We start from the raw sequence: 27,079 nt of genomic DNA on the forward strand, positions 1-27,079 counted from the left end.
TCAAAGGCTGGGATGTCATATCTGATCATCAGAATTTTTATCATTTTCTCCCAGGATATCTCCTTTTCAGGGCACACCAGATAGTTCTGTAGCCCTGATTTCAAGCTCTCAGAAAGAAACTAAGGAGAAACAGATTTTCTGGACACATACTCTGTGTCTGATGCTTGTTCAGTGAGGCAACTGGATTATAATACTTGAGAAAGTTCTTTGCATCCAAAGCACCAAGTTCAGAAGGCAACACCATAACTCACTTCTGTGCATTTCAGAGTGAGCTACTATAATGTCAAGTTATTAACGGTGAAGACAGGAATGGGGCCACTGGGGTACCTGACATGGTAGCTGAGATACTGGGAGCAAGATATTGAGATAAATACTGGCCTATATAATGAACATGGTGACAAATGGAATTGGAGAGTAGATGAATAATTCTAATGTCCACTAGGGCAATCCCCTTCACGATATAGGAATACCTTATAGAACCATTGATCCATTGCTTGAATACTCTTAGTGGCAGAGAGCTCACTACTCGATAAGGTTGTCCTTTCCCCTGAAAATCAGCTCAGATTATCTGAAATGTTTTTCTTATATTTAGCCCAGATGTTCACTCTCTCATTATACTACCGTGCTCTTCCCCTTAATCATGAAACAGCCTGTAAAATAACTGGAGGCAACTAACACATATCATCCCTAGGTCTTCTCTTCCTCAGGGTTTTATAAAAGCACCTTCCCATCTTCTTTGCAGAAACTGCTTTCACACATATTACCTGTGAGTCTCACAGGGCCCTGAGATGTCAGTAGCGGATGGCCGCTATTCCCATTTTGCAGATAAGGATAATGAATCTCAGAAAGTTGAAGTGATCAACAAAGATCATACCCAAAGTGAGGAAAGAATCTTGGCGGGGGGTCTGATCATTCCTTTCAATTTCGGAATCCATGTTTCATCAAAACGAAAATTTTTTAAAAAACAGAGACAGGGTCTTGCTTTGTCACCCAGGCTGGAGTGCAATTGTGCAATCATAGCTCACTGCAGCCTCAAACTCCTGGGCTCAAGTGATCATCCTGCCTCAGGCCCCCGAGTAGCTAGGACTACAGGCATGTATTACCATGCCCGGCTAATTGTTTTATTTTTTGTAGAGATGGGGTATTGCTATGTTGCCCAGGTTGGTCTTGAACTCCTGGCCCCAAGAGATCCTCCCACCTCCACCTCCACCTCCCAAAACACTGGGATTATATGTGTGAGCCACCAAGCCTGGCTGTCATTAAAAGGAAATTAATGTCAAATCCAACTGATCAATTCGACAATCTCTGTCTTTCCTATTTACTACTATGCCAACCATCTAAGAATCTCTCTCTCTCTCTCTCTATATGTATATATATATATATATATATATTTTTTTTTTTTTTTTTGAGACGGAGTCTCACTCTATCGCCCAGGCTGGAGTGCAGTGGCATGATCTCGGCTCACTGAAACCTCCGCTTCCTGGGTTTAAGCAATTCTCCTGCCTCAGACTCCTGAGTAGCTGGGACTACAGAAGTGTGCCACCACACCTGGCTAATTTTTGTATTTTTGTAGAGACAGGGTTTCACCATGTTGGCCAGGTTGGTCTTGAACTCCTGACCTCAGGTGATCCACCCACCTTGGCTTCCCAAAGTGTTGGGATTACAGGCATGAGCCACCGCGCCCGGCCTAAGAAAGTCTTTTGAAGGCCAAAAGAATTTCTGCTAGAATTCACTGACTGGTTATTACTGATAATTAGAAAGTCTTTTATGCCTAATACAACTATATAAAAGGCTTTGAAACTGAAAAATTACAAGGAGAAGGATAAAAGATCTTTTTCAGCCATAAGAATATTACATGGGGGAATGAAGAGAGGGGAAAAGAAAAGTGCTAAGTATTTCTCACATGAAAATGACATAAGTTGCACTAAGGTTAAAGTCTGTGTCATTAAAACAGTTGTCTGTGAAGGTTAAGTTCCACCAAGTTCAGTGTTATAAGGTGTGATAGAGTCTGAAATAGGCACTTGAGTGGCCCTGTGAATGCAATGCTCTGCTTGCATTCCCACTGTGGGACCTGAGTCATGTTCAATGGTTAACAGGGTGCAAAAAGCACTAAATAATGAATGCAGTAATGGGACGCTTAGCAGACACCTTCCTCTCCACTCAGGAATGTGCTTTTTTTTTTTTTTTTTTTTTTTTTGAGATGGGGTCTCGCTCTGTCACCCAGGCTGGAGTGCAGTGGTGCAATTTCCGCTCGCTGCAAGCTCCACCTCCCGGGTTCACGCCATTCTCCTGCCTCAGCCTCCCGAGTAGCTGGGACTGCAGGTACCCGCCACCACGCCCGGCTAATTTTTTTGTATTTTTAGTAGAGATGGTGTTTCACCGTGTTAGCCAGGATGGTCTCGATCTCCTGACTTCGTGATCCACCTACCTTGGCCTCCCAAAGGGCTGGGATTACAGGCGTGTGCCACGGCACCCGGCCAGGAATGTGCATTTTTAACAGTCACAAAAAAGTCAAGATATCTGCCTAAAGAACATGTCCAGCATTATCAGCCCGAAGAAACAAAGACTACGTGTATTTCCCAGCTCCCTGAGATGGAAATTGGTGATAAATTAATCAGCTCTGAGCACTGCTGAGTAGAGGAAGTATGGACTCAGCAGTCTCAGTGATCTGCCCAGAAGGTACTTACATTTCTCCTTTGCTTATTCAAATCTTACTCATCCTTCAAGGCTTTGCTCAATTAATTCCCTCCTTTCTGAAACCTCCGTGTCTCTCCAGCCAGTTAGCATTTCCTCTCAGCAAGCATTTATGCTGTTGGATTTCAGACACCCTGACATAAAAATGTACCTATGTGTTTACAGTCACAAGAGAAGTTAGTCCCTGTGCCAAGCTTCCAGCTGCCTTGACCAGAAAAGCAGATGAAATGTATATTTCTAGGAGTGGGTAGGATTAATCCTTATATTGGCTCACAATTCCTAGGAAAGGGTGCAGGAGAGAAGCATAGCATGACCTTGAGAACAAATCTGCTAGAAAGACAGAGACATCACAGGTCCAAATTAAAATACACAACGAAAAGCATCCAAATGTGTTATTTGAGAAAGAAGTCCAAGAAAGGGATGATAACCACAGCTGAGCATCCTGAATCAATAGGTCAAGAAGGGTTAAAACTAGGGCAAGAATGAGTAAATGAGAAAGAGGAAAGTAAAGAGATGGAACCAGCTTTCCATCTATACCTGGGCCCTAGCTCATCAAAACAAAACTGTGCACCCATCAGTTGATGCACTCAGGTGAAGGAGAGCAATAAGAAACAGAAAATTCTAACTTCTGCCCTAAGACTCTGGAACGCTCTGTAACCTCAAATTTGCCATGTTACTGATTTATCTCTGTTGATGGAAGAGTGATGATGAGCTGCTGACTGAGGCTCTAAGACAGAGGTTGAGGGATCCTGTTGGCTTTGAGTCCTACAAAAATTTATTCATGCATACATTTTTTTTTCCTGGGGAGAGGGTCCACCATCAATATCTCAAAGAGACTGGAAATCTCAAGAAGGCCTACCTTAGAAACAGTCTAGATAGAAGTGAATCCTGCCCTCTAGGATCTTACAAAGAAGTAGGGGGAAGAAACTGAATAATAGCCCACAGCTATTAAATTCTCATTGCACTGAGCTCATTCACATACTTTAGCTCATTTAGTCTTTACACATTTAGTCTTTACACAAAAACTCTAAGGCAGGCACTAACATTAATTCCATTTTACAGATGAGGACATGGAGAGTGGAGAGACTAACTTAAGTACTCAAATTCACAAAGCTAGAAAATGGTAAAGCTGGGAGTCAAATCCAAGTTGTTCTGATGCCAAAGCCCATATTTTGAACCATTAGAAAATACTGCTCCATGATTACCACAATAAAATGTGGTTAAGGCCAGGTGGAGTGGCTCATGCCTATAATCCCAGTGCTTTGGGAGACCAAGGTGGGAGGATTGCTTCGGGCCAGGAATTCAAGACCACAGTGGGTAACATAGCAAGTCCTCATCTTTAAAAAAAAAAAAAAAAAAAAAAATTGCCAGGCATGGTGGTGCACGCCTGTAGTCCTAGCTACTGGGTAAGCTGAGGCAGGAGGAGCATTTGAGCACAGGAGTTTAAGGATACAGTGAGCTATGACTGCAACACTGCACTTCAGCCTTGGTGACAGAGTAAGAGCCTGTCTCAAAAAAAAAAAAAAAAGAAAAAAAAGAAAAGAAAAGAAAACAAATTTCAAATTTGTGGTTAGAAGTTCAGCAGAAGTGGGCTTGGCATGGTGGCTCACACCTGTAATCCCAGCACTTTGGGAGACTGAGGCAGGTGGATCACCTGAGGTTAGGAGTTTGAGACCAGACTGGCTAACATGGTGAAACCCATCTCTACTAAAAATACTAAAATTAGCCAGGCGTAGTGGTGCACGCCTGCAATCCCAGTTACTTGGGAGGCTGAGGTGGGAGAATCGCTTGAACCCAGGAAGCGGAGGCTGTAATGAATCAAGATCATGCCACTGCACTTTAGCCTGGGCAACAGAGCGAGACTCTGTCTCAAAGGAAAAAAAAAAAGTTCGGTAGAAATACATTCGAAAAAGCAATTTCCCTAGGGACTCAAGGAAAGCTGAAGACAGAAAATAACATTTTAACTGGATCTTGAATGTTGAATGAAGAAAAAGTTCAGCAAGAGTACTGGAGTGGAAGAAAAGGATGAACAGAGGCTCATGGTGAGAGAAAGGAGGGGTTCCTGAGGATCTGAGATCACTAAGGCTGTTCTTAGTGAAAAGATTCAAGGGATGAGGGTCATGAAATTGCGAGGCCAGGTTACTAAATGGGCTGTCCACTGGAACGATGAATCTCCCCAGATAATGGCCAAAAGTAGAGAAGGCAACAAAAAACAAAATAATGGGGTCACAGAAGAAAGTGTATTTTATATTTCAACAGTTGATTATCGTTCATTCAGTTCAGTAGTGATTTCATATACAGACTGAGGATAGTGCATAGAACCCCTCTTTTTGCCTGTCTCTCTTATATATTATATTGTTATATAAAATTTTAATTTTTAAAAAGAAAGTCTGTAGCCAAATGTAGTTTGAGAAATGGACTATGTAACTACCATCTCTAATTGCATATTATCTGAGACAAGGCAAGGGATGTAACTGATACACTCTTAAAATCCAAAAATTTTAGCGGTTTTCAGACAAGTATCTGGCAAATTCACTGGGCCCAAATCCTTTCTCCAGCCTTCTGTGACATGCAAATAGTTACAGGGGTTTTGGGGTAGAAGGACTACACTGATTCTTTTTTTTTTTTTTTTGGAGACAGAGTCTCGTTCTGTTGCCCAGGCTGGAGTGCAGTGGCATGATCTCGGCTCACTGCAAGCTCTGCCTCCCGGGTTCACACCATTCTCCTGCCTCAGCCTCCCAAGCAGCTGGGACTACAGGTGCCTGCCACCATGCCTGGCTAATTTTTTTGTATTTTTAGTAGAGACGGGGTTTCACTGTATTAGCCAGGATGGTCTCGATCTCCTGACCTCCTGATCCGCCCGCCTTGGCCTCCCAAAGTGCTGGGATTACAGGCATGAGCCACCGCGCCCGGCCTACTGATTCTTAATTCTATCAGATTGTGTCCCTAATATTCTGTAAGTTACAGGCCCCTCTTCAGAAAAATTAAAGAGTTTTAATGACTTTAAACACTTTCCACAGGGCCCCAGGAGGAAAAATCCAACCCTAGGTAGGATGAAAAAACAAAAATCAAAAATAACCCTGCCAAGGAAGCAAGATGTTTTGGCTTTGCCTGATGCTGAGTTCCTGATGTAGGAGGGGAGTGAATGCAGGTGCGTGAGTGTGTGGGTTTGTGTTTAGAAGGCCACCTGTCCGCCTGGTGATCCAAGCTATGAAGAAAAAACAACACATATTTATGGAGGCTGCAGGTGGAACAGGGAAAGAATGGTTAAACACAAAGTGGAAGAAGGGCCAGGCAAGAGGGCTTCTTTGAGAACCAACACTGTCTTAGTTTGACACGGCGTCTTTGGCCCCAGAAGGAAAAAGAACTTAATGGACAATAGATGAGCTTTGAGTCTATAGGCATTCATTTGTTCATTCATTCCTCACACAGGGATTCATTTGTTCATTTATTTTTATTCATTCATTTACCACTTGAGCAGCTACTCTGTGTCGATGCTTACTGTAATGAGGACATGAATATGATATGATTCCTGTCCTCAACGGACTTACAAAGCAAGGAGGTATGGAGTAAAAGTGACAACTCCTGGTGAGTAGTTCAGTGCAACAAAACATTTAGTAAGTGTCTATTAATTGCTAATGTACACTGAGTGATCACTGTTATTAATCTAAACTCTCAGAACTCAGTGAATTTGGTTTTCACATCACCATTACATAGCTGAGAAGACCAAAGACCGAATAGAGCAAAGGGCTCACTCAAGGTCACATAGCCAGTAATGAAGCCAGGATTCAAACCCCGGTATCTCTCATAGCTTAGGTTACTACCACAGTCCTCAGCGGGAACTATATTTCAGGCACTATGCTAGGTGCTGAAATTGCAAAGCCGCGTGAGATGTGATCTCTGCCAAGGTTTTTGAGGAACTCAAAGTCCAATGGTTCACATGAATATGTTAAGAGAAAATGACAATCCATTAGGATCAGTGCAAAGAGAAGTATTAGAGGTAGCCCAGAGAGACTGAGTACTCTATTTGGGGTAAGGAAGGCTTTCCAGAGAGGGTGTGTAATCCCCTAGAATAGTTGCCAATCCCTGGCTCAGTGAGGAGTGTTTGCTAGAGCACTGCCTGAAATAGCAACATGTGGATATGTTCTCATGTTATCTAATTCACATCTTCTGTTAAGGGTTTTGTATAAGTGTCTCCTTCAATCCTCCAAACAAAGCAAAGGTAGTATTATTTTCTTTTGGTAGATAATAACATAGAGGATCAGAGATGCAAAAAGCTGCTCAGGGACTCTCAGGAAGTGGCTGTGGTAAGAACTACACCCAGATCTCACTCTGAAGACCAGGCTCTGTGCAGACCTAAACCTGAGAAAAATGAAACCAGGTGGAACCTAGAGTAACAGGCCACTGGGCAGTTTCTCTTCTTATGGGAAATTTGTGGAAGTCTTACGACTTTCTGGAAGCTGCTTAACATACACTAATTGAGTTATCCTTGTATTTGTCTTTCTGGCTAAGGGAAAGGTGGCGAAGGAGCAAACAGTGAGAGGCAAGGATTTTCAGAGTACAGAGGTACTCTAGGGAGTGTGCATTCATCAGAGAGGCAGGTCTACTAGGGGAATCCTGGAAGGCAGGAAGATCTCAGAGCAGGGAGGGGTGTGTGGTATTCGGTATTACCTCCGAGAGGCTTGGGCAAGTGGGATCAACTTTCCAATACATAAACTACTCTGACCTCTAATTATGTTCAATCATCTTTTTTGGTAGATAAGAACACTGAGTCTCTGAGGCAAGGAAATATATCGAAATTCTCATAGGTAGGAAGAGGAGCTCAGATTCCAACTGCAGCCACCTGTCTCTATACCACAGCCTGAGGTTTTTACTTCTTACCTCTCTTAGGCTTTTGAAAATGTTGAAAATAGCTCATGGAAAAGTCATCATTACCATCAGTTGGTTCTAGGACTCTGAGAGAACAGCGGGTTGGGAGCCACTGCATGCCATTCAGGCAGCCCAGATATTTTGCAAGCAAAATTTCTAGTGCATTTCCTTAATGATTATTTTGGAGTCAGAAATATGGGGACTTTCTTAATTCTACCAGGGATTTTCACAAATTCCTTCTACAGATAGAGTCATTCATATATTTTTTATTTTATTTTATTTTATTTTATTTTATTTTATTTTATTTGAGACGGAGTTTGGCTCTGTCACCCAGGCTAGAGTGCAGTAGCGCCATCTCGGCTCACTGCAACCTCCGCCTCCAGGGTTCAAGCGATTTTCCTGCCTCAGCCTCCCGAGTAGCTGGGATTACAGGCATGCCTCACCATGCCCGGCTAATGTTTTGTATTTTTAGTAGAGACGGGGTTTCACCATGCTGGCCAGGCTGGTCTCGAACTCCTGACCTCATGATCTGCTCGCCTCGGCCTCCCAAAGTACTGGAATTACAGGCCTGAGCCACCGCCCCTGGCCTTCATATATTTATTAAATGTTCCTAAAGCAGCCGTGTTGTACCTGGCTTTCATATACCAGGCCATGGGCTTGCATCTGGTAATACGAGGACCCCAGGACATTCAAGGAAGTAATAGGGAAAAAGTGCTATTAGCAGAGGAATGACAGCACAAAGGCAGGAGTGATCTGCTGTTGCTGTTCAGAGCGAAAGTCCAGAAAGTCCCCCTGAGAACACAAAGCTTGAAGTAAAGTTGGAATGCTGGGGGAAGGCTGCAGAGAGAGTGGGGAGGGGTAAAACAAACAAACACAAAAAGATTTCAGTAGGGCTGGACCAGAAGGAGGTAGATTAGACACTAGGCTGGAGAGGGGACCTTCAGGCAGCCCACCTGTGTATCTCAGGCAAAGGAGCTTGGATTTTTTTTTTTTCTGGAGCTATTAAGCATGGAGATGGTGTGGCCAGAATCATTAATAAATTCACAAAAACCAAGGCAGCAAATGGAGCATGTTTCCTTACGTATCTAAACCTGTTAGGGGCAAGTGTGGCAATTCAGGCACAAACTGAATTGTAGAGAATGGTGTCATGGGGGCTGGACCAGTTGAAACACGAAGAGCAGACCAATGTTTCAGTGACAAGGGGGCCTGATGAGGTGCAAAGGCCTCAGGGAGAAAAACTGCTGTTTCCCTGAACAGTACAACACAGAATAGGGTCCCTAGACTTGGGTTTTTGAAAACGGGCCTGCATCTGGATATGCTTTTTCATTAAAACTAACACGCATAGGTTTCAGAAGCCATATTTAGATGGGGGGGGGGGGTGGTTTCAAGATCCTGGAAGAGTGGGTTATAGAAATGGACATTGATCAGAAAGAAGTTTCACTAAACGAAAAGGGAGAAGGGGGCAGGCAAGGATGAGAATCTACCAGAAAGACTCCCAACTTGGAGAATACAGAGTCTTAGGTTTGGAAGGGACATCCAGAGCTCTCCTGTCCATCTCCCTATGCAATTTGTGAATCGCCCTGGTAATCTTTCTGACAAGTGGTCTGCAAGTCTTGTTTGCATAGCTCCAAGAATGGTGAGCTCACTGTCTGAGGTGCCAGCTGGTCTAGCTATGAGCAGCTCTGACTGTGGGAAGGTCAGCCTCACTTTGAGCTGGAATTGACTTTCTTATAGTGCCACCCACTGGTCTCAGTTCCAGGACTTGGCTGACACAGAACAAGGTAATCCCTTTTCCATACAGTGGCCTTTGGAGTCCCATTTCATATCTATGTATTCTTTTATCCAGGCCAAACATTTCTGTGTCCTTCAGCTGCTCCTCATGGGATGGAGTTTCACATCCCCTTGTTAATCTTATCGTGAAACATGCAGATGTGCCTTTATGTCTCTCACAGTGTGGGGTCCAGAACAGACAACAGTGTTCCAGGTAGAACGATTTTAGCCTCACAACAGCTGTCAGGGACAGAGCTGACATTGTTGAGGGTCTACCTGACTTTAAAGCACCTTCTCTGTCCACACATTGTTGAGATGAATGAGGTCAATAGTGACTGAACACGCTAGTTCCTTGGCTGTGGCAAAGTCACATGTGCCCCCTGCTCAAGAGCCTTCACTGGCTCCCGAGAGCTGCCTGAATTATGTATAGAGGTTGCCTTCTGCATGCCAGTTGTAGGTCCTAAATATGAGTTCCGGGCACTTCAGTGGTTTGGAGCAGTACCACACAGCTGGGAATTTTTGGTTCTGTCCCAGATTCCCAGGAGTCCCACCGGCACATGGGGTCCAGATCCACTGGACCTTGTTGTCCTTAATGTGGTATGCCTCTTGGGTTCTCCACAAGCCCATTGCATATGACCTTTTCCAAAATTTTCACGCTTTGGCTGAACTTTTGTATACCCCAAAGGCCCTGGCCAGCCTCTCCTACTGTCCCTTTGAAACTTCTCAACCACTTTCAAATTAGATGGGCAGCTCTCTTTCCACAACAGAAACACTATCCTCCACTTGAGCAGGTCACTGAGCTCTGAGCTTCACTACTATCAGCTCTGCCTCTTACTCAGGTTATTCTGAGGATGGAGTGAGAAAATGGATATTGGATACACAACACTATTAGATACCATAATACTGTAATGTGTTAGAAGAATTACTTCTTCTAAACCATGGCTGGAGACTTTTGCCCTAGAACACCTATGACCTTGAGGCCCTTAAACAGAGTAGTTCACGTGATTCAACTCACTCCCACTCATGGGACCAGACCTTCATCCAGATTGGCAACTTTTCCTCAGTGCTACCATTTCTGCCTCATGTCTCCTTCCTCTGGCCCACTGAAGATGCCCCAGCATGCAGTCCCCAGCAGAAACATGTGGGGCCATGACACTCATTCCAGGAGAAGGGTTTCCTTCCGCAGGCTGTAGACAGCCTCAGTGTGAATCCAGGTCACGGAAACCTGGCAGTGGAGAGGAGATGTACTTACACTTACAGGTTGACTTTTTGGCACATCATAAACACCTTCCTTCTTTTGGCTGGTGGGAACCTATGGAAAAATTAAATTCAGCACAGTCAAAACACTCTGGTACTCCAATTTCAAAGAACAAAGCAACCAGACTTCAACTGCAAGCTGGCTAAGGGTGCCTGAGAATGGCCCCAGGGACAAGCCCATGGGAACCTGCTCTAATTGTGAAAGTATCAAGCCAGGCTCCCTCCCTTAGGAGCATCAGATGGGGACAGGGAGTGGGCATCATTTAACAAAGGTTTATAGGTCGTCTCTGCCATTGGGCTTCTCGCAGAATCAAAGACTAGAAACTTACATAGACTTCAGAAGTCATGCGGTAAAAAAAAAAAATCCTCATTTCCTTAGACAAAAATGAGGCGTAGGGAGGTGCTATACTGTTCCTGAAGTGATTAAAAACAGTTTGCAGCTGAGCTTAAACTGTTCAATGCTGAGGCTGAGATCTGGGCTATTTAAAATATAGCAAATATCAAGATCCTAGCACAAAGCACAGCTTCTACTGGGATCAGATACAAGCCATTTGATAATTATGGAAGGTTTTCATTGAAGAAAAAGGCCCACGAGTGGTATGGAAAGTGTGGGCCTAGTACGCAGAAGATCTTGAGGGCGTTTAACATTAATCTGCATCTTCCTCCCTTCCCTTACTCATCCATCTGGTCTCACTGTTATGAGCTAACTGTGACAGGCTGAGCAGGTCACTGAGCTCTGAGCTTCACTACTATCAGCTCTGCCTCTTACTCAGGTTATTCTGAGGATGGAGTAAGAAAATGGATATTAGATACACAACACTATTACATACCATAATACTGTAATGTGTTAGAAGAATTACTTTAGTTACTGACACATCATTTAAATATATACGAACACATCTTATGATACTAACGATAGTGGATATGTTGACTACTTTTCAAATGAGTCAACCAAGGGTTTTCACTGAAAGATTCCAGATTGGAAGCACCCATTAGTTGTTCCTTTCCCAGGAACTGTCACAGCTTAGCTCACACCCCCATTGCAGGACCCAGCCAGCAGTGGTTTTATAATGGTCTGACAACATGCCTTTCTTTCCATCATATTGGGAGCTCCTCAAGAGCAGGCATAGTGCCTAACACCCAGTAGGCTCTCAGTAAATGTCTGCTGAGACATATGGTAAACGTATGATAGAGGAATGTGGGGAATAGTGAAGGAAAAGTATCTTTTGGGCTTGAGCTAGCTAACTACACCATTGTTCTATAAGAAGTAAGAATTTGAGCTTATTCCTTAGGTCCTTTGACATTTTTCATCTCATTTAACTTAAAATCTTTGCAATAACTCTAAGAAATTGGTAGTATCATCTCTACTTTAAATAGGAGAAAGTGACGCTCAGAGATGTTAGGGACTTTGCCCAAATCGTCAAAGCTGGTAAGTGACCAGGTTCAAACCCAGCTCTTTCTGGTGGCCAAACAAGACATCTATTATTAATAATGTGAGCTAACATGGACTGGGTGCTTCCTATGTGCCAGGCGCTGTTCTAAACATTTGTGTCTTACATACATTCTCATGCAATCCTCAAGACAAGTCTTTCAGGTAAGAACTCAGTTGGCCCCATGTTGCAGAGGAGAAAAATATCTCTGGCAGTAGAGATATTTGCCCTAGAACACCTGTGACCTTGAGGCCCTTGGACAGAGTAGTTTGTGTGATTCAACTCACTCCATGAGTGCAGTCTGTGAATGGGGAAGCCAAAAGCTTGAGCCCAGGGAGTTTGCCATTTGACTGCTATACTATTCAGACAGTTGTTTCAAGTGGGCCTTTTCTTTGACATCACATCCTATGTTCCCAGAAGCTCATCTACACTCTTGCAGAAAACAGGACTGAGTGAGCATGGCCGTGTCAGTGGTACACTTCCAGAGCTGATCTTGCAAGCTTCACTGTGCAAGTAGCCAGTGAAGAATGTCGTTTCTTTGCTCCTGATAACTGAGCTCCATCTAAAAGAAATCCTCTAAGAATGCCTACAGAGTCCTTGTTAATGAGGGCCAATAAATTACCAGCCCTCACTTTTGTTTTTACTAGCTCAACCTTTACTGAGAAAAATGAAGAACATTCTGTTGCCCGTAATTCACTGCTCACTACGGGCACTTAGCACAGTTGAACCGCAGCTGCCTCTCAATTATCCCTAAAAATGGAGAAAAAGCAGTGGAATGGATAAACTCAAACTGTGCATAATTGAAAACGCTTTTCTACTTGGCTCTCCCATGGGTGAGATATCAATCTGCCTGTTTGTCCTTTAAGATTTATCTCAGCTGGGATATCTTCTTGGAAGCCTCACTTGATTCTCTAGGCCTTGTTTGGAGCCTTCCCCTGTATTCTGGTAACCTCTGGTGCATTCTTTCATTAAAAAATAAAAATTGCTAAGCACGTATTATGTGTCATGCATCACGCGTTCCCTGGGACAGTGATGGTGAACATGATGGATATGGCCCCTGATTTAACAGAGCTCCTTGTCTTATTGGGGGAGATGGAAAAGTAATCAGACTACTGAAATAGAGTGTAAAGTGTGCTTTATCTTATCATGAGAATTATTGCATCACATTGTAACTGTTCCAGGGTCTATAAGCTTGCTGAGGGCAGGTTGGGGTATTTTATTATCCTTGTATCCACAGCTATAAATATTGGTGAAACAAAGAAATGCCTAATCGCCAAGCATTCAGCCCATGAGTGCTAAGGTGCATGGTCCTGGCTCTCATCTCTGCTTAGCTGTACCATTCTGTTTACACAAAAGGCTTCAGTAACACAATGTTTTAGAGACATAAAAGTTTCAGACCAAAAGGAACCAGAAGACTGGTAGTTCCAAATCCTGGGTCTGCCACAGGCTGCGACTCAGACAGTCGCTTTGCTCTCTGAACTTCAGTTGCCCCATCTGCCCATTGTGAGCATCTAAGGGGGCTATACATAAATTTCTGAGGGTGAGGGCTGTGCCATGGTCACCATCTCATCCCCGTGCCAGACGCATGTGATTTCCCAGTGTCCAGTCATTTATTTGTTCTATAAATAATCTTTTTTTTGTGTGTAAGTGAATAGATGTTAAATTACTCTAAAAACAGCACATTCCGTACTATACATACAGAAGACACTTTTACTTTTATTTTGGCAGCATGTTAATTAATAGTGTGGAGAGGCAGTTCCAGGCTTTGTTGGGTAACATTTCCTGGAGACTCATCATTTAAAAATAACGATACTTGACAAGGATTGGATGGTTAACAGTAGTTTTTGAATGAATGAACTTGGAAAATGACCATGTGGAAAGCTGAAATCTTGCTTATATAGGAAGCCTGTTCAGGCATTGAAGAACACTAGATTTAGAATCAGAGGTTCTGACCTTGTATTCAGCACCTCAATTGGGGGAACTTGATTTTCTTATGTTCAAAATGATAGTCATTGTAGCTGTTTTTCCTATGTCACCATTATTGGAAGGATCAAAATTAAGTGATGTGTAAAAATGTTTTGTATTGGGAGGCTGATAACTTCAACACAGCCGATAACTTTTTCTGAGGCATGCAAAGCAAAAGGCAATTATTATTATTAATATAGCTGGGAAAACAAGACTATTAGAAAAACCTCGAAAAAAGAGGTTACATTTACTCAAAAGCCTCTGTATCCCTTTTGTTGGAGTTATAAATAGGAAAGTGAAGCACGCTTGAGGATTTCTGCTAGGCTCTCCAACAACATGTGGTGAGCAAGTTATGTTCTATTTCACTTAAAACATGATCATAAGACATCTTCAACAGCATCTGAAACTGACAACACGCAAGGAAGGAGGGGAAACTCACGTTTACACAGAACCTACTATGAACCAACTGCTCTCCTCCTCGTTTTACGTTTTCACATCACTGCTAGGAGCAGAGAATATATTATCCCCATTTCATAGCCCAGGAAATTGAGATACAAAAATTATGTTCTCCACTTAAGTTCACAAAAGAGTTAAAGGTCTCCAGGACTGTCTGCCTCACTGCAGAAAGCAAGGAGGTGAATAAAAGCTGAGACCACTGGCTGGGCCAAGCTGAAGTACTAACAAACACTGCAATTCAGGAGAAATAGCTATGGAACACTTACAAGCCCTTAAAAAAAAAATGAGGCGCCTAATAGCAGCCCCTTAAAAGCCCAGCCTTATCTTCAGGCCCAAGAGCTTATCTCTTATTAAGTAAATTGAGCCCCAGCAGACTGGCAGAGCAGGAGAAGAGAATGACCAAAGGCCTTTCCAATAGAAGGAGATAAAATACTCATTCCCTTAAATGGTAGCTTCCTGTTAATGATGGACAGATGGGAAGATCTAGAGGTCAGAGCTGTTAAAACAAGTGTGATTTTTAGATAGTGACTTGAAAGGGACTTAGAATCGAATTGTGAAACTCAGAATCAGGGGATTCTGAGCTGAGAGCAGCCTTAGGATTTATTTCTTTATTTACAGAGGTCAGAGGGACCTGCAGTGGGGGCTCTACCTATTGCTAGCTCTGGGACCCTGGGCAAGTTACCTTATCACTGTGAGCCTCACTTTCCTTATCTGTAAGGTGGGAATAATGATTCAAGCCACATGGGGTTGTTGTGAGAGATAAGATATTGCACTTAAACCCCATTAACAGAGTTGGCTCACCATCAGCGCATGTGCACACGCAAATTTTCCCACCTCCACCATTTCTGAGTCTTATTATCCTGTAAAACAAGCTAACCTGCTTCTCTAAAAAAATCAAAGTCCTATGGTAAAGTGGTAATTGCAAAAAACAGAAAAGGGTCTTGCCTGAGAGAGCCCTGTATTTTACTTGCTCATTTTACAGATGAGTAAACTGAAGCCCAGAGGAAAAAAAAATACTTGACAGTTAAATTAATGGCTGAGTTGATACTTGTACTAAAATACTGAATCCACACAGCCAGACTCCACATTTTGTGACCCATGATGACACCTCTTCTTTCCATTCTACACATGAGCTTGTGAGTTAGGGAACAATTGTTCGCTTATTTTATCAAGGGAGAAACTGACTCTGAGAAGGTAAGTGCCTTGCCCACTACCACTTAGCCAAAGGTAGTTGGTAAGAGAGCCTGGACTACAACCCAGCTTTCCACCAGCTAAAGCAGGTCTTTCCAGTACACTAGGATGTCTCCCTCCCCACCCCGCCCCCACTGCAATCCTACAAGGCTCAATGGGAGCCCTGCCAACTATAGCTAAGTCTGGATTCAGAAACCTGTAATACTGCAAAGCTTCCTTTTATTTAAAAGGGGCCCTCTCTTCTTAGGATGATTGGTTAATGGTTTTTTCCTCCTCATATTCAGATACTGTAAGGTTGTATATACTTTAAAATCTGACACTCAGGACAAACGCAACTTTTCTTATTAAAGATACTTGGTAAGCCACAACTTTGAAAAAAGTCTCAAAGCACAACCTCACATTTGAATGGAATCCAGATAGATCCAGTGGAGAGAAAATATTATTCAACAAGGCTGACAACTTTAAACAAAGTTGTTGGTAGAACTAACATTATATTTTAGTCATTTAGAATTCTATGCATTTGACAGAAATTGAAAATATGTTTTACTTTTATTACACAAGTAATACACACCCAAGGCAGAATAGGCCACACAACTAACAAAATTAAAATCACTTATTAAATACATCAAATTTTTTTTCTTCCCCTATAATGTTTCTATTTCAAATTGGGACTACAATACTAATGAGTGAAAAGTTGCAGGTCATCATATCTATTTGATGTGCTGCTATACGGCAGTTACACAGACACTTTGGTGGAAGACCATGGCAGAAGGAGGCAGAGCTTCGCCTTCACACCCATGCCTGGGTTTGAATCTTGGCTCTAAATAGTTGTACAACCCCGAGAAAGCTACTCGGCTTCTCTCTCTGAGTCTCACCCTATAAAAACAGAATTAAAATATCTAGTTTATAACATCTTCATGAGAATTCAGTGAGTTTAAAAAGTTCAGTTTTCTTTGCACAATTAAAATAAGGGTAAAGCCTTTAGCTGTACTTTCATTCAGTTAATATTCTCAATGTTGTTTTCACACATCATTTGAAATTAAATTTGTGCTTTATTTTCAGTAGCGGAGTTGGCTTTTTAAGAAATTTGATAAGCACATTCTTTTGAGAAATAAAGGACCCTAATTGTATAATGGACACCAGCTCTCCAATGTATTACTTTAGTAAAATGGAACATTTTATTTTTGTTTCTACTTAAAATAGTTAAGATCCATTCAAAAGTAAAACACTGTACCTAACTAGCTATTAAACATCAACAACAAGGCATGAAAACTACTGGTAAATTGCTGGGGAACTAGAAGCCATTTCACTCAAAGGTATTTTAACAAGCCAGGAATGACCAACAGAACCCTTGGTTCTTTAGACTATCAGTACATTTATGCATGTACTAGTAGTGGTGCAATGGTAAGAGAGGCAAGCAATTTTATACCTGATAAATGTTTTCTTCCGTTTCGGGATCACGGATTGGCTCGTGTCCAGCCTCAAACACAATGTACTATTACAGGAGCAGCCAGAAAGGAAAGGTCAGAGGTGAAAAAGAAGAAAGGTAAAACAAGCATTTGGAAATTAAGATACAAATCACAGCGAGCATTAACGAAGCAGGCACAAGAGAAAACACCTTAAAGACACAACTAAATTATTGAAATAAAATGTACCTTGTACATTCCTGCCTTTCATAAGGAAAACTGCAGAGGTCTGCTGGTCAGTATTTCAGCAGTGATTGCATCGAGCCTCTGCAGATCTTTCTGGAGATATAACCTCTTCATTCAATGGCAATTTGTCTCAGTAATACCTGAATACATTGGTATTGCTCAGTGAGAATGCTATCTCACTGGAATGCCTGGGATCCCAAACTTTGTAATGTATGGGTTACAGTTGAGGGGCATCCCTTTTTCCCTAAGGTTCAAAATCCTAAACAAACTCTGAAGAGCTCAGAAGCCCCAAACTCCTTTATCCCATAAATATCACCTTATTTTGCGTTCTCACTTTTAAATACATTAAATCGATTTTTCCAAGTTCATGTTTTGGGACTGTGACATTTCAAAAAGGCTATTATTCTTCATTCTGTGCAAGCCAGTGAGCAAGGGGGTGAAGCTCATATTATATACAAATCCTCGGCCCTCAGCATTCTAAAGCAAGAGCACGTCATTACGTGCATCTTTGGCTTTTGTTTGCCGTATACATGAGATATTTTTCCACTTCAAGTCATCTACATTATTTTACTTTCATTGTAGCAGTACCAGATTTTTGTGTGAAACTAAGCATTTATATAAAATACATATGTGACACACACACACATGCACACACAAAGAACACCTATGCATCCAGTTAGAAGTGTAAGTTCAAGATTTTCCTTTGTGTTCAATAAGTCATTTTTTGGGCTTCTTTTTCACCTTGGGAATAAGCACAGGGGAGGGAGAGGCTGTCTTTTCCCTTTTTTTCTGCATCTCTGTTTGAACAGACCACATGCTTGACCTCAAGAGAGATCATCTCCCTACCCACCACTGAGCTGCAGATCTTGAAGAGAGTCCAGAGAAAGCTAGGGGCAGAAGTGTCTTTAGGGTCACTCTTTCCTTCCTCCCAACAGCTCCTATGGCATGAGCCAGGTAATTGGAGGGTCAGCTTGCCCCATCGGGGGTCAGAGAGTCCTCCTCATAGCCTTTCTAAAGCTTAGAAACCATCCTTTGGGTCTGTGCTAAAATGCTACCAAAATGTCAGCCCCCACCTCTGGTTCTTAACTCAGAGAAGCCACCTCATTATTCATATTCTCTCTAATGAACTCAGAATATTCAAGAGACTCTTGAAAACATTCAGCTCTGGGATCAAACTTTTACAGACTGTGAAGGGGGCCGAGGCAGAGGCAAGAAGGGAGAAGCGGATCTCCAAATCCCAAGATACCGATGCCGGCCAAACTTCTGTTAGTTTTTATGGAAATTTGCTCCTGGAGGGGCTGGCAGCCCTCACCCTCAGAAATAATCTTGGTCTCTCTCCAGGTTTTGCAGTCAGTGGATTCTTCAGGTTTCTGACAAAATGGCTCTGGCACAGGTCTAGTCACTCTTGAATCTAAAACCCCGACTAGTTTCAGAAATTACCTGGTACACAGGATCTTCAACATCCTCTTCCAATATTGTCTATTGCAGAGTAAGGAGAGGGAGGGTGAAAAGCAGAGGACATAAAGGAAGAGATGTGAGACTGCATTCAGAAATTACAGGACAGTAAAGAAACCAGCTCTGGGCAGAAGAGGCTGGTGGGCCATCAAGGTAGAAAAAACACAAAAAAGTCAAAATCCTTAGAGCCACTCCCACCTCCACCCGCACTGTTAACAACAGCAAAAGCAATTGTGTTTCTTGGGTCCTCCACCCCTGAAATCTTTCTCTGGATTCGAGATTTCACTTCATCTAACATGTCTAGAGTTTAAGAGAATAAGGAATAATTTCTAATGGCTTGCTTTGGGTCCTGTAATTTACACAGGAATCTTTCATCTTCGTTTATTTCTACTTGGCAGCAGGAAGAGAAGGCCTGACTGTCAGTTTTTACATGTGTTTATTTGAAGGCCCGATCTCCAGCGCAAGGATAAATTCACAGGTATACCTGGTACACAGCTTGTTCACACTGCTTATCCTTTTGTGCCTTTTTTTCTAATTCTTCTCTTTGCTTCAATTCATAAATGAGTTGAAAGAGATCTCTCAAGTCCAGAATAACAGGTTCAGCCTGGGATGAAAGGTAGTAAGGCACATCATAAGGGAATGGTACTGAGACGCAGCAACAAATTTTTGTTTTTGCGGCGACAACCCGCAGCCCTTCCTTTTTCTATTAATCTGAAAGCATTCCATTCTTAATTAATTCTTTGTTTATACTGGTTTAGCAAATTGCATCTAGGCTAAAGTTCATTTCTTCAACTAATTATATTTGCAAATTCATAATAATCATAAGCATAAAAGGCATTGCTTTTATTTATTAGTGATTTAGAATACAATAAAATTAGGGTAGGCCTTATGCAAAACAGCTATTTGTTTTCTCTTATTTTCTTTTTAAATGAGGCTATGAACGCAAGGAAACTTATTTGTATACGGTGCCTCCATCCAGTTTAACCAGAAAGGAAAATAATTAGTCATTAGGAAATACCCATTAGTTAAAAAAAAAAAAAAAAACAGAAAAAACTGGATGGGTATGAGCATGTTTCCTTGCTCCAAGGCTGTTTATCTTTTCTAGATGGGAATGTGAGCATCAACTTCAGTGGAAATACATTGCTTGGTCATATCTGAGAGTGGGCCCTCAAAGACCAACGGAGTCACTGGACTGTCCCCCCAGAGTTCCAAGGAAAGACTCCCTTCTTGGATAGGGATACTCACCGCCTGGGCTGTTTTTATGGCCACAAATCTGTGATTCCCTTCCTTCCCACAAACATATCCAAAGGCCCGGTGATCTGTAATGTCCTTTGCAATGTAGGATATTTCATGAACAGCATGATGATGCTGAAGGGCCTATCAGAGAAAAAAAAGGAAGAACATATTTCAGGGGACTTTCCCTTCGAGCTGTTGATCAATAAGAAATGTGTTTCAGCTACGTGTGAACAGGCCCGAAGGGCTTTGGAAAAGCTGTTTAGTCCAGATGGAAAGAAAAAGAGCTATGCCTGTCCTTGAGAAATGGAGGCTTCCCTCTATGGTCTTAATGCTGTGACCAGAGAGAAACATAGGATTGTTCATATGCTGAATAAGCATCTGCAACAGTGGCTTTATTCAGCTTGCTAGAGCCAGCCAGTTTAATTCAATGGGTAGGCTTCTGTTTGATCGTTTTACATGACACATCCCAGTCCAACTTTTGGATTGATATTTAATTTACTTAAATACTCGGGGACCGTGTGTGCTGTGGTGGAGGAGCTACACTACACAACTCCAGGGAGTATTATTAACATTCATAGAACTATACATGTGCATGGTGACAACACTTTTCCAGCTGATGGTGATAGAGTGTGTTGAGGAATAAATGCCTTTCTCTGTTTTGCCCAAAGTCACCACTGGGGGTAGAGGCGGGGCTATGCATATCTCAGGCTTTTCATTGGTAGATCTCTCTGCCTGCAACATCAACTCTTTTTATCCACTTGCCCAAATCCTCTTTCTCTTTCAATGGCCGTATGAAATAGTACCACCTGAGTGAAACTTCCTCTGAACAAGGCATGCCTTCTGTCTCCCTGGAGAAATAATTCCACCCTCATTTGTGTATCTGTAGAACTTTACTTTCTAATGACACTGAACTGATGAATTCCTCCAATGTTCGTGCCTGGAACGAACTTCCTTACTCTCACAGGTCTTCCTTCTCTGATATATTTACATGATTCCTTGTCTGTCTTTCCCACCCGGTTCTGTCTTCCTTATCTCTGTCATCCTAGCACCTTGCACTATGCCTGGCCTATAGTTGTTGAACTAAAGTAAACTGAGATTGATAATTAGTAATTTGAAAATCTTTTATAATTCACCTTCATGCCTTCATTATCTGAGCTTCAACAAATAATGTTCACCATCCTATCGGGTAATGGTGATCTTAACGGTTATTTTCCTATACTAAACCTACTTGAAACAATCCTCATTCAACAGTACTCTGTAAAGGCTTATATATTCATCTGGGTGCTTATGGTATGTTTAAAGTCCTTATAAAGAGCCTTTTCATTATACTGGGTATCAGGAGGCCTGAATTCCAGCTACTGTGTAAACACAAGGCACCCACTGTACCCCTGTGTACCTCAAGTTTAACCCTCTAGTAAATGGGAGGTATGTACCAGATCAATGGGTCATAAGCCAAAGCCCTAGATCCTTAGGGGTCATTAAATGTAATAAAAAGAGGCCCCATGCAATTTTCAAAATCTCAAAAAACTAAACAGAAATATGTAATTATTCCTAATAAGTCTACATATTTCTATGTGCATGCAAATGAAAATGCCAAGTTTATTTGGAATTTCTGTTTTTTGAGACAGGGTCTCACCCTGTCACCCACGCTGGAGTGCAACGGTGCAATCTTGCCTCACTGCAACCTTCACCTCCCGAGCTCAAGTGATCCTCTCACTTCAGCCTCCTGGGTGGCTGGGACTACAGGCATATGCCACCAGAGCCGGCTCATTTTTTTGTAGAGATGGGGTTTCACCATGTTGCCCAGGCTGGTCTCAGACTCCTGGGCTCAAGCGATCCACCTGCCTTGGCCTCCCAAAGTGCTAAAATTACAGGTGCGAACCACTGCACCGGCCATTTATTTGGAATTATATCAGCTTAGTGTTGCTAATATTCCTTAGCTCATATTTGAGTATATTCTCTTACTGGCACTTAGTTATGGTTTAAATAGTCCAAATAGGAAAATGGATGATTACAAATGCAGTTTTTTTGGTAGACAGATTCTTCCCCATTACTGAGTCCATGGAGGGAGAGAGAAAATTATGAAAACATTGGGAACCACTGGAGTAGATACTCTCTAAGCTCTTATTCCATCTTCCCAAATCCTTTTAAGCCATTAGGACCACTCACTACAAAACCAGCCTCCTGGCACAGTGGGCCTCTGGATTTCACGATGGTCATCGCCGTAGTTCTAGACCACTGATCTTCTAAAATGTCCATCCCTTGGCCGGATGCAATCTTTCCAGGCATTTGACCTTATAAATCATTTGTGGCAGCAGAATTTTCTGACTTACCTTAAACTTCCAGGGTCTGATCATTCACTAACCTCTCTGACTACTCTTAGAACTCTCTCTATGGCTTCACACTTGCCCAGGCTGCCCACTGGCCACTGGATATCATGCTTAAATGGTAGTATGACTGCTCAGTTACCCTAGTCCCTCCAGTGGCAATAAAACGAATGTATAAGTCTAATGGTTTTTGACACAAATAAGTTGGCAGAGAAGGACATATTTGCTAGCAAAATAATTAGGACCCATTAATTTTTGTTTTATTAAGAGGACATATTTAGCTAGCAGAGGAAAATTGCTCAAACAGTGGTAGCTTTTTCACGGTGTTAATGATGTAAAATTGATGAGATTTACATTCGCACAACATGGGGGCATTGATTTATAGGCTTTTGTGCGCTAAAATGGTAGGCAGCAGGGAAAAGTGGGAGACAAAGATGTTCTTCTCTTCCTTTCCTAAAAGTATCTCTCTCGCTGCATAATGTGGAGAATGTTATCCACGTTTCCTATTAAATCAAAGTTTGATGACAGTGCCTTATTGATTGCCAAGTAGAACATTGCTCTAAAATTAAGCTGCGATTAGAAGTCTTCCTGGTGGAATTAGATTTGGAGATGATTGTGCAATGGTAAAATATCACTTACCAGGCAAGACAGCAGATGGAGATGTTTTAATTTATCTGGGAATCCTCATTAAGTGTTTTAAAATCAAAACATTTTTAATGCCTGATGATACCTAATACTGTCTTGCAGAGTGTAGCTGTGTGTGTGAGCGTGAAGTGCTTAAAGATATTTGTAACATTATTCTCTCTCATAGTTAATTTTATGACATGTTAAAAAGGATTGCTCTGAACGTGTCTCATTCATTCGGAAATAAGAGTCAGTGAGGGGCTATGTCTTCCCTCTCTGCAACCTTAACCATGCAGACGTAACATAGATACTTAGAAATACAAATACATTAGAATTCTGCTAATCCTACAATTGCATTATCACATTCGCTTTAGAAACTTAGAGTATCATGCAAATTCTTGTTCACTGAGCCTCAAGATTGCCCCATGTCTTCAAGTAGAATTTATCAGCACAATCAAAGACAGTTGGAATCTTAAACATCAATCCTGAGTTTATTCATGAAGGGACTGAAGGTCAGAGATTGAAACGCCAGGACCAATACTAAACCCAGGTGTTTTTCCTACTCAGGATGACAAAGCATTGAAAAAAGAAAACTAGATTACACAGAATCAAAGTCTCCTTTCCTTAGACTTTTGGCTCCCTCAACCAACAACAAAAAGATGATCCCTTGATAAGCTGGGATGAGGAAGGCAAGGGAAGAAGAGAACTGGGTAAGGGGAGAGAACTGAGAATGTTCTGGATTCAGGCAGGTATCTGAGATCAGGGAGGGTCATAAATCAGAGGGCTTGGGGTAAAGGCTGGCCACTGGGCTCTCAAAGAAAAAGGTCAAGACAGCATGGCCCTGAAGTTTACTCTCAGGAATTGGCTGTCTCTGGCACCTGTTGAGCAGCCAGAGGCAGAAAGGTGAGGCACAGCCCATGGTCCTAGGGCATAAGAACTGCTCCATCCCAGGAGTGCTTCTGCAGTCAGTTCCTGGGGCCTTGCAGGTAGTTCCGGAGGTGGCTGGGAGAACAGCCAGAGAATACCGGCCGGAGTGGGAGGCAGAGGGTGAAGGAAAGGCAGATGCTGGTTGCCCTCTTCCACATTTCCTTTTGAAAACCGTTATTGTCTTGGGAAAACTTAGTCTAGATATTAAACTACTGCCAAAATCAAAGCAGGTATTTGTCTTAAAAGTAGAGCCTTCAGGAACACCCTAGCTCTCTGCCACAGCTTTATGTATTCTCCCCATCCTGAACTCTTCTTTGCATCATGGATAAAAGTTGTCACTAGAGAATTTCAAGGACAATCCAGGTATCAATGTCCTCAATCCAATCTGACCTTCCTATGCATGAACTTCAGGTCACCTGTGCTGCAAATAATCTGAGGAGCTCATTACTCTCCCTTTGAATTTTGTGCTTTCCCACTTCTGTGCTATTGCTCACATGGTTTTCTCTGCAGATGCCCTGGCCTGCGCTTCATCAGCTCAGAGAACTATAGTGTACCTATGACGGAAGGCATAGCTCTGACATGTTGCCCATCCAAGGAACCTACCTTGATACCCCATTTCCCTGAGTAATAATTCCCATCCCTAGATCTCACTGCATTATATTTGTCCTTCTACACAGGATGCTTTGCACTTCTTTCGCATTTATCCATTCATCCAGTTACTCACAGCATGTGTACTTATTGAGTGCCTATTATGTTGCTGGTCTCCTGCTATGTGCTATGGCTACACAGATGAATAAAACACAGTCCCTTCTTCAAGGAGTTCACAATCTCATAAAACAGGTAGGCAAAGAAACTAGCAATCACAATATAATACAACAAGCTTTATATTAAAAGTGTGCCCAGTGTGTCACATAGGCTTGGGGCAGGAATGGGCGAAGGGCATCAAAGAAGGCTTGACGAAGGGGGTGACCTTGAATTGAGGCTCCAAGGATAGATGGGAAGTCTCCAGAAAATAAGGAAGAAAGGGCATTTTAGGCAGAAAGAACTGAATGTGTGAAGGCAGCTAGGTTCTGAGAACAGGACCTTGTGGAGAACATCTATGCACATGTTTTCTCTCTCTCCTTCAGGAATGTTAGGCCCTTCAGAGAAAGATCCATGTCTGGTTCTTCTCAATCTTACCCCCGCTCCTAATACTGCACCTTCTGAACAGTAAGTGTTACATAATATTTCAGGAAGGCAGGCAGGGAGGAAGAAAGAAAGGAAGTACAGGATGAAGGAAATGAATGGGGAGGAAGAAAAGAAAGAAAGACCAAGTCACCTTAAGATAAGCCCTACATATGGTGGATGCTCAATACATGTTCAATGAATAAATGATTCAGGTTAATTCATAACATTTCACACAGGATTCATTCTGTGAACAGAGAATTTCTTATCTGATCATCATTAAATCTTTTTTTCTTTGTATTTCCATGAGCCATTTACCAGTGTTTAAATGAAGTATCAAATTGTTTGGAGGGTTACTGTCTGACAGAATAAATTACAGAGAAGACTTAATTTGTAGTATGGTTCAATACAGCCAATTAAATACAGTATGGATTAGAAAGTCATCTGCTGAAGATTTTACCATTAGTTTTTTTTAAAGAATAAATTCTACCCTATTTAGCCTTCATATTATTAGTATGTGTGTGTATGTGTGTGTGTGAGAGTGTGTGCTTTCCCGAGGCAATACTATTCACAGGAAAAATACCCAACAGGAATCAAGTGAGTTAACAACAAAACAAAAAAGCAGAAAAGCAGAGAGACACAGAATAAAAATAGATACATGAAAAAACACTACTTCACACTACAAGCAATTACAGTAGTTAAAACCTCACAAGACAAAGGGAGGCCCAGGCTCATTACAAAGGCCTTTCTCTTTTCTAACATATTTTTGGATGTGCTTGCTACATCACGGTGCCAATGAGGCAACCTCTGCACCAGCCCCCAGGCAACCCATCATCAAACACTCAATGGAGTGGGTCAGAGTGAAGTGCTCCCTGGGTTGGCATCCTGAAATCTTCTAGAAGTTTCTACTCAAGGACAAGACCAGATTTCCAAATAACGTAGTCTCTCGCTGAAGAGGTGGTGTGATAATGGAGGAAAGATATGGACTGTGGAATCAGAAGAAATGCAATTCACATCCAAGCTCTACCATTTACTAGATGTGTAGCTTTGCACACATCACTCTAACTTTCTGAGACTTCTTTTCTCTTTTTGTATAATACAAAGAATGATATGGGAACCCAAAATGCTATTGGAAATATTAAATTGATTCATATAACATATATGAAATGAGATACCATTTTTGCCACCAGAATGAAAAAAACAGAAAAGATAATACCCAATATTGACCAAAGTGTGATGAAACAGGTATCTTCTTGGGCTACTGGTCTGCTACATGTAACATAAGTATGATAATAGTATCTCTCTCATGGTGTTGTTATGAGGATGAATAAATTAATATATGTAAAGTGACCAGAACAGTGCAAGGCACATTTATAAAGGTTGGTACCTGTCAGCCATTATAGGTGTTTTGTTATTGGTGGAAGTGTGATTTGGTGCAACTTCTCTGGAAGGCTGCTTGGCAGTATGTTTCAGAGCTTTAAAGATGTGCATACGCCGGCTCTATGATTCTTCTTTAATTACTTATCCAGAAAGAATGTAATATCTGGGCAAAAACTTGAGTACAAAATATTCCCTGCAGTGCTGTTAGGATGGTGAAAAGTTAGAAATGTCCAAAAATGTTGAGCATTAGCTGACTGGCTGAAGAAAATGGATTTGCTATAAGATGAAATAGCAAGCAGTACCGAAAAAATGATCTTGTGGAAGTGGTATTTTTTGCTTTGAAGATATATTCACAACATCCTGTTGAGTGAAAAAAGCATATTACAAAATACTATGTTCAATATGATCCTGTTTTTGAAAAAATGTACACATATCCATATATGTGTACATAACAAGAGTTCTCTCTTGAGTGGTGGAATTACTAGTAATTTTCTTCTTATTTATGCTAATTTTTGCTACAATCAAAATGCTGTTTAATAAGATGGTTTTTTCTTTCATATTCGAATTTAATGCCTGCACTGTCACTAACCCTCCTTGAGCCCATTCAGTCTCCCTCATTCTTATCCCCCAAAAACAAGTCCATCTTGTCAATTTCACCTTCCAAGTACCTTTTGCTTGTCCA

The 27,079-nt window shown here is 41.8% G+C and overlaps 1 protein-coding gene across 8 annotated transcripts in view; it reads right to left on the reverse strand.

Moving 5' to 3' along the window:
* DAB1 (DAB adaptor protein 1) overlaps positions 1-27,079 on the reverse strand; it is a 1,551,949-nt gene that overhangs the window by 57,521 nt on the left and 1,467,349 nt on the right. For 6 of the 8 annotated variants that reach the window (NM_021080.5, NM_001379462.1, NM_001353983.2 and 3 more), the window contains 5 exons: positions 19,985-20,116; positions 19,224-19,343; positions 18,725-18,763; positions 17,062-17,127; positions 10,586-10,645 (listed from right to left, as the gene is read on the reverse strand). In NM_021080.5, the coding sequence (NP_066566.3) occupies positions 10,586-10,645; positions 17,062-17,127; positions 18,725-18,763; positions 19,224-19,343; positions 19,985-20,116 (417 nt within the window). The remainder of the gene's footprint in view (positions 1-10,585; positions 10,646-17,061; positions 17,128-18,724; positions 18,764-19,223; positions 19,344-19,984; positions 20,117-27,079) is intronic. The other 2 variants (NM_001379461.1, NM_001353986.2) reach the window with 1 other exon arrangement.

The sequence above is a fragment of the Homo sapiens genome, chromosome 1 (assembly GCF_000001405.40).
Source record: "Homo sapiens chromosome 1, GRCh38.p14 Primary Assembly".
In the NCBI taxonomy this organism is placed as follows: Eukaryota; Metazoa; Chordata; class Mammalia; order Primates; family Hominidae; genus Homo; species Homo sapiens.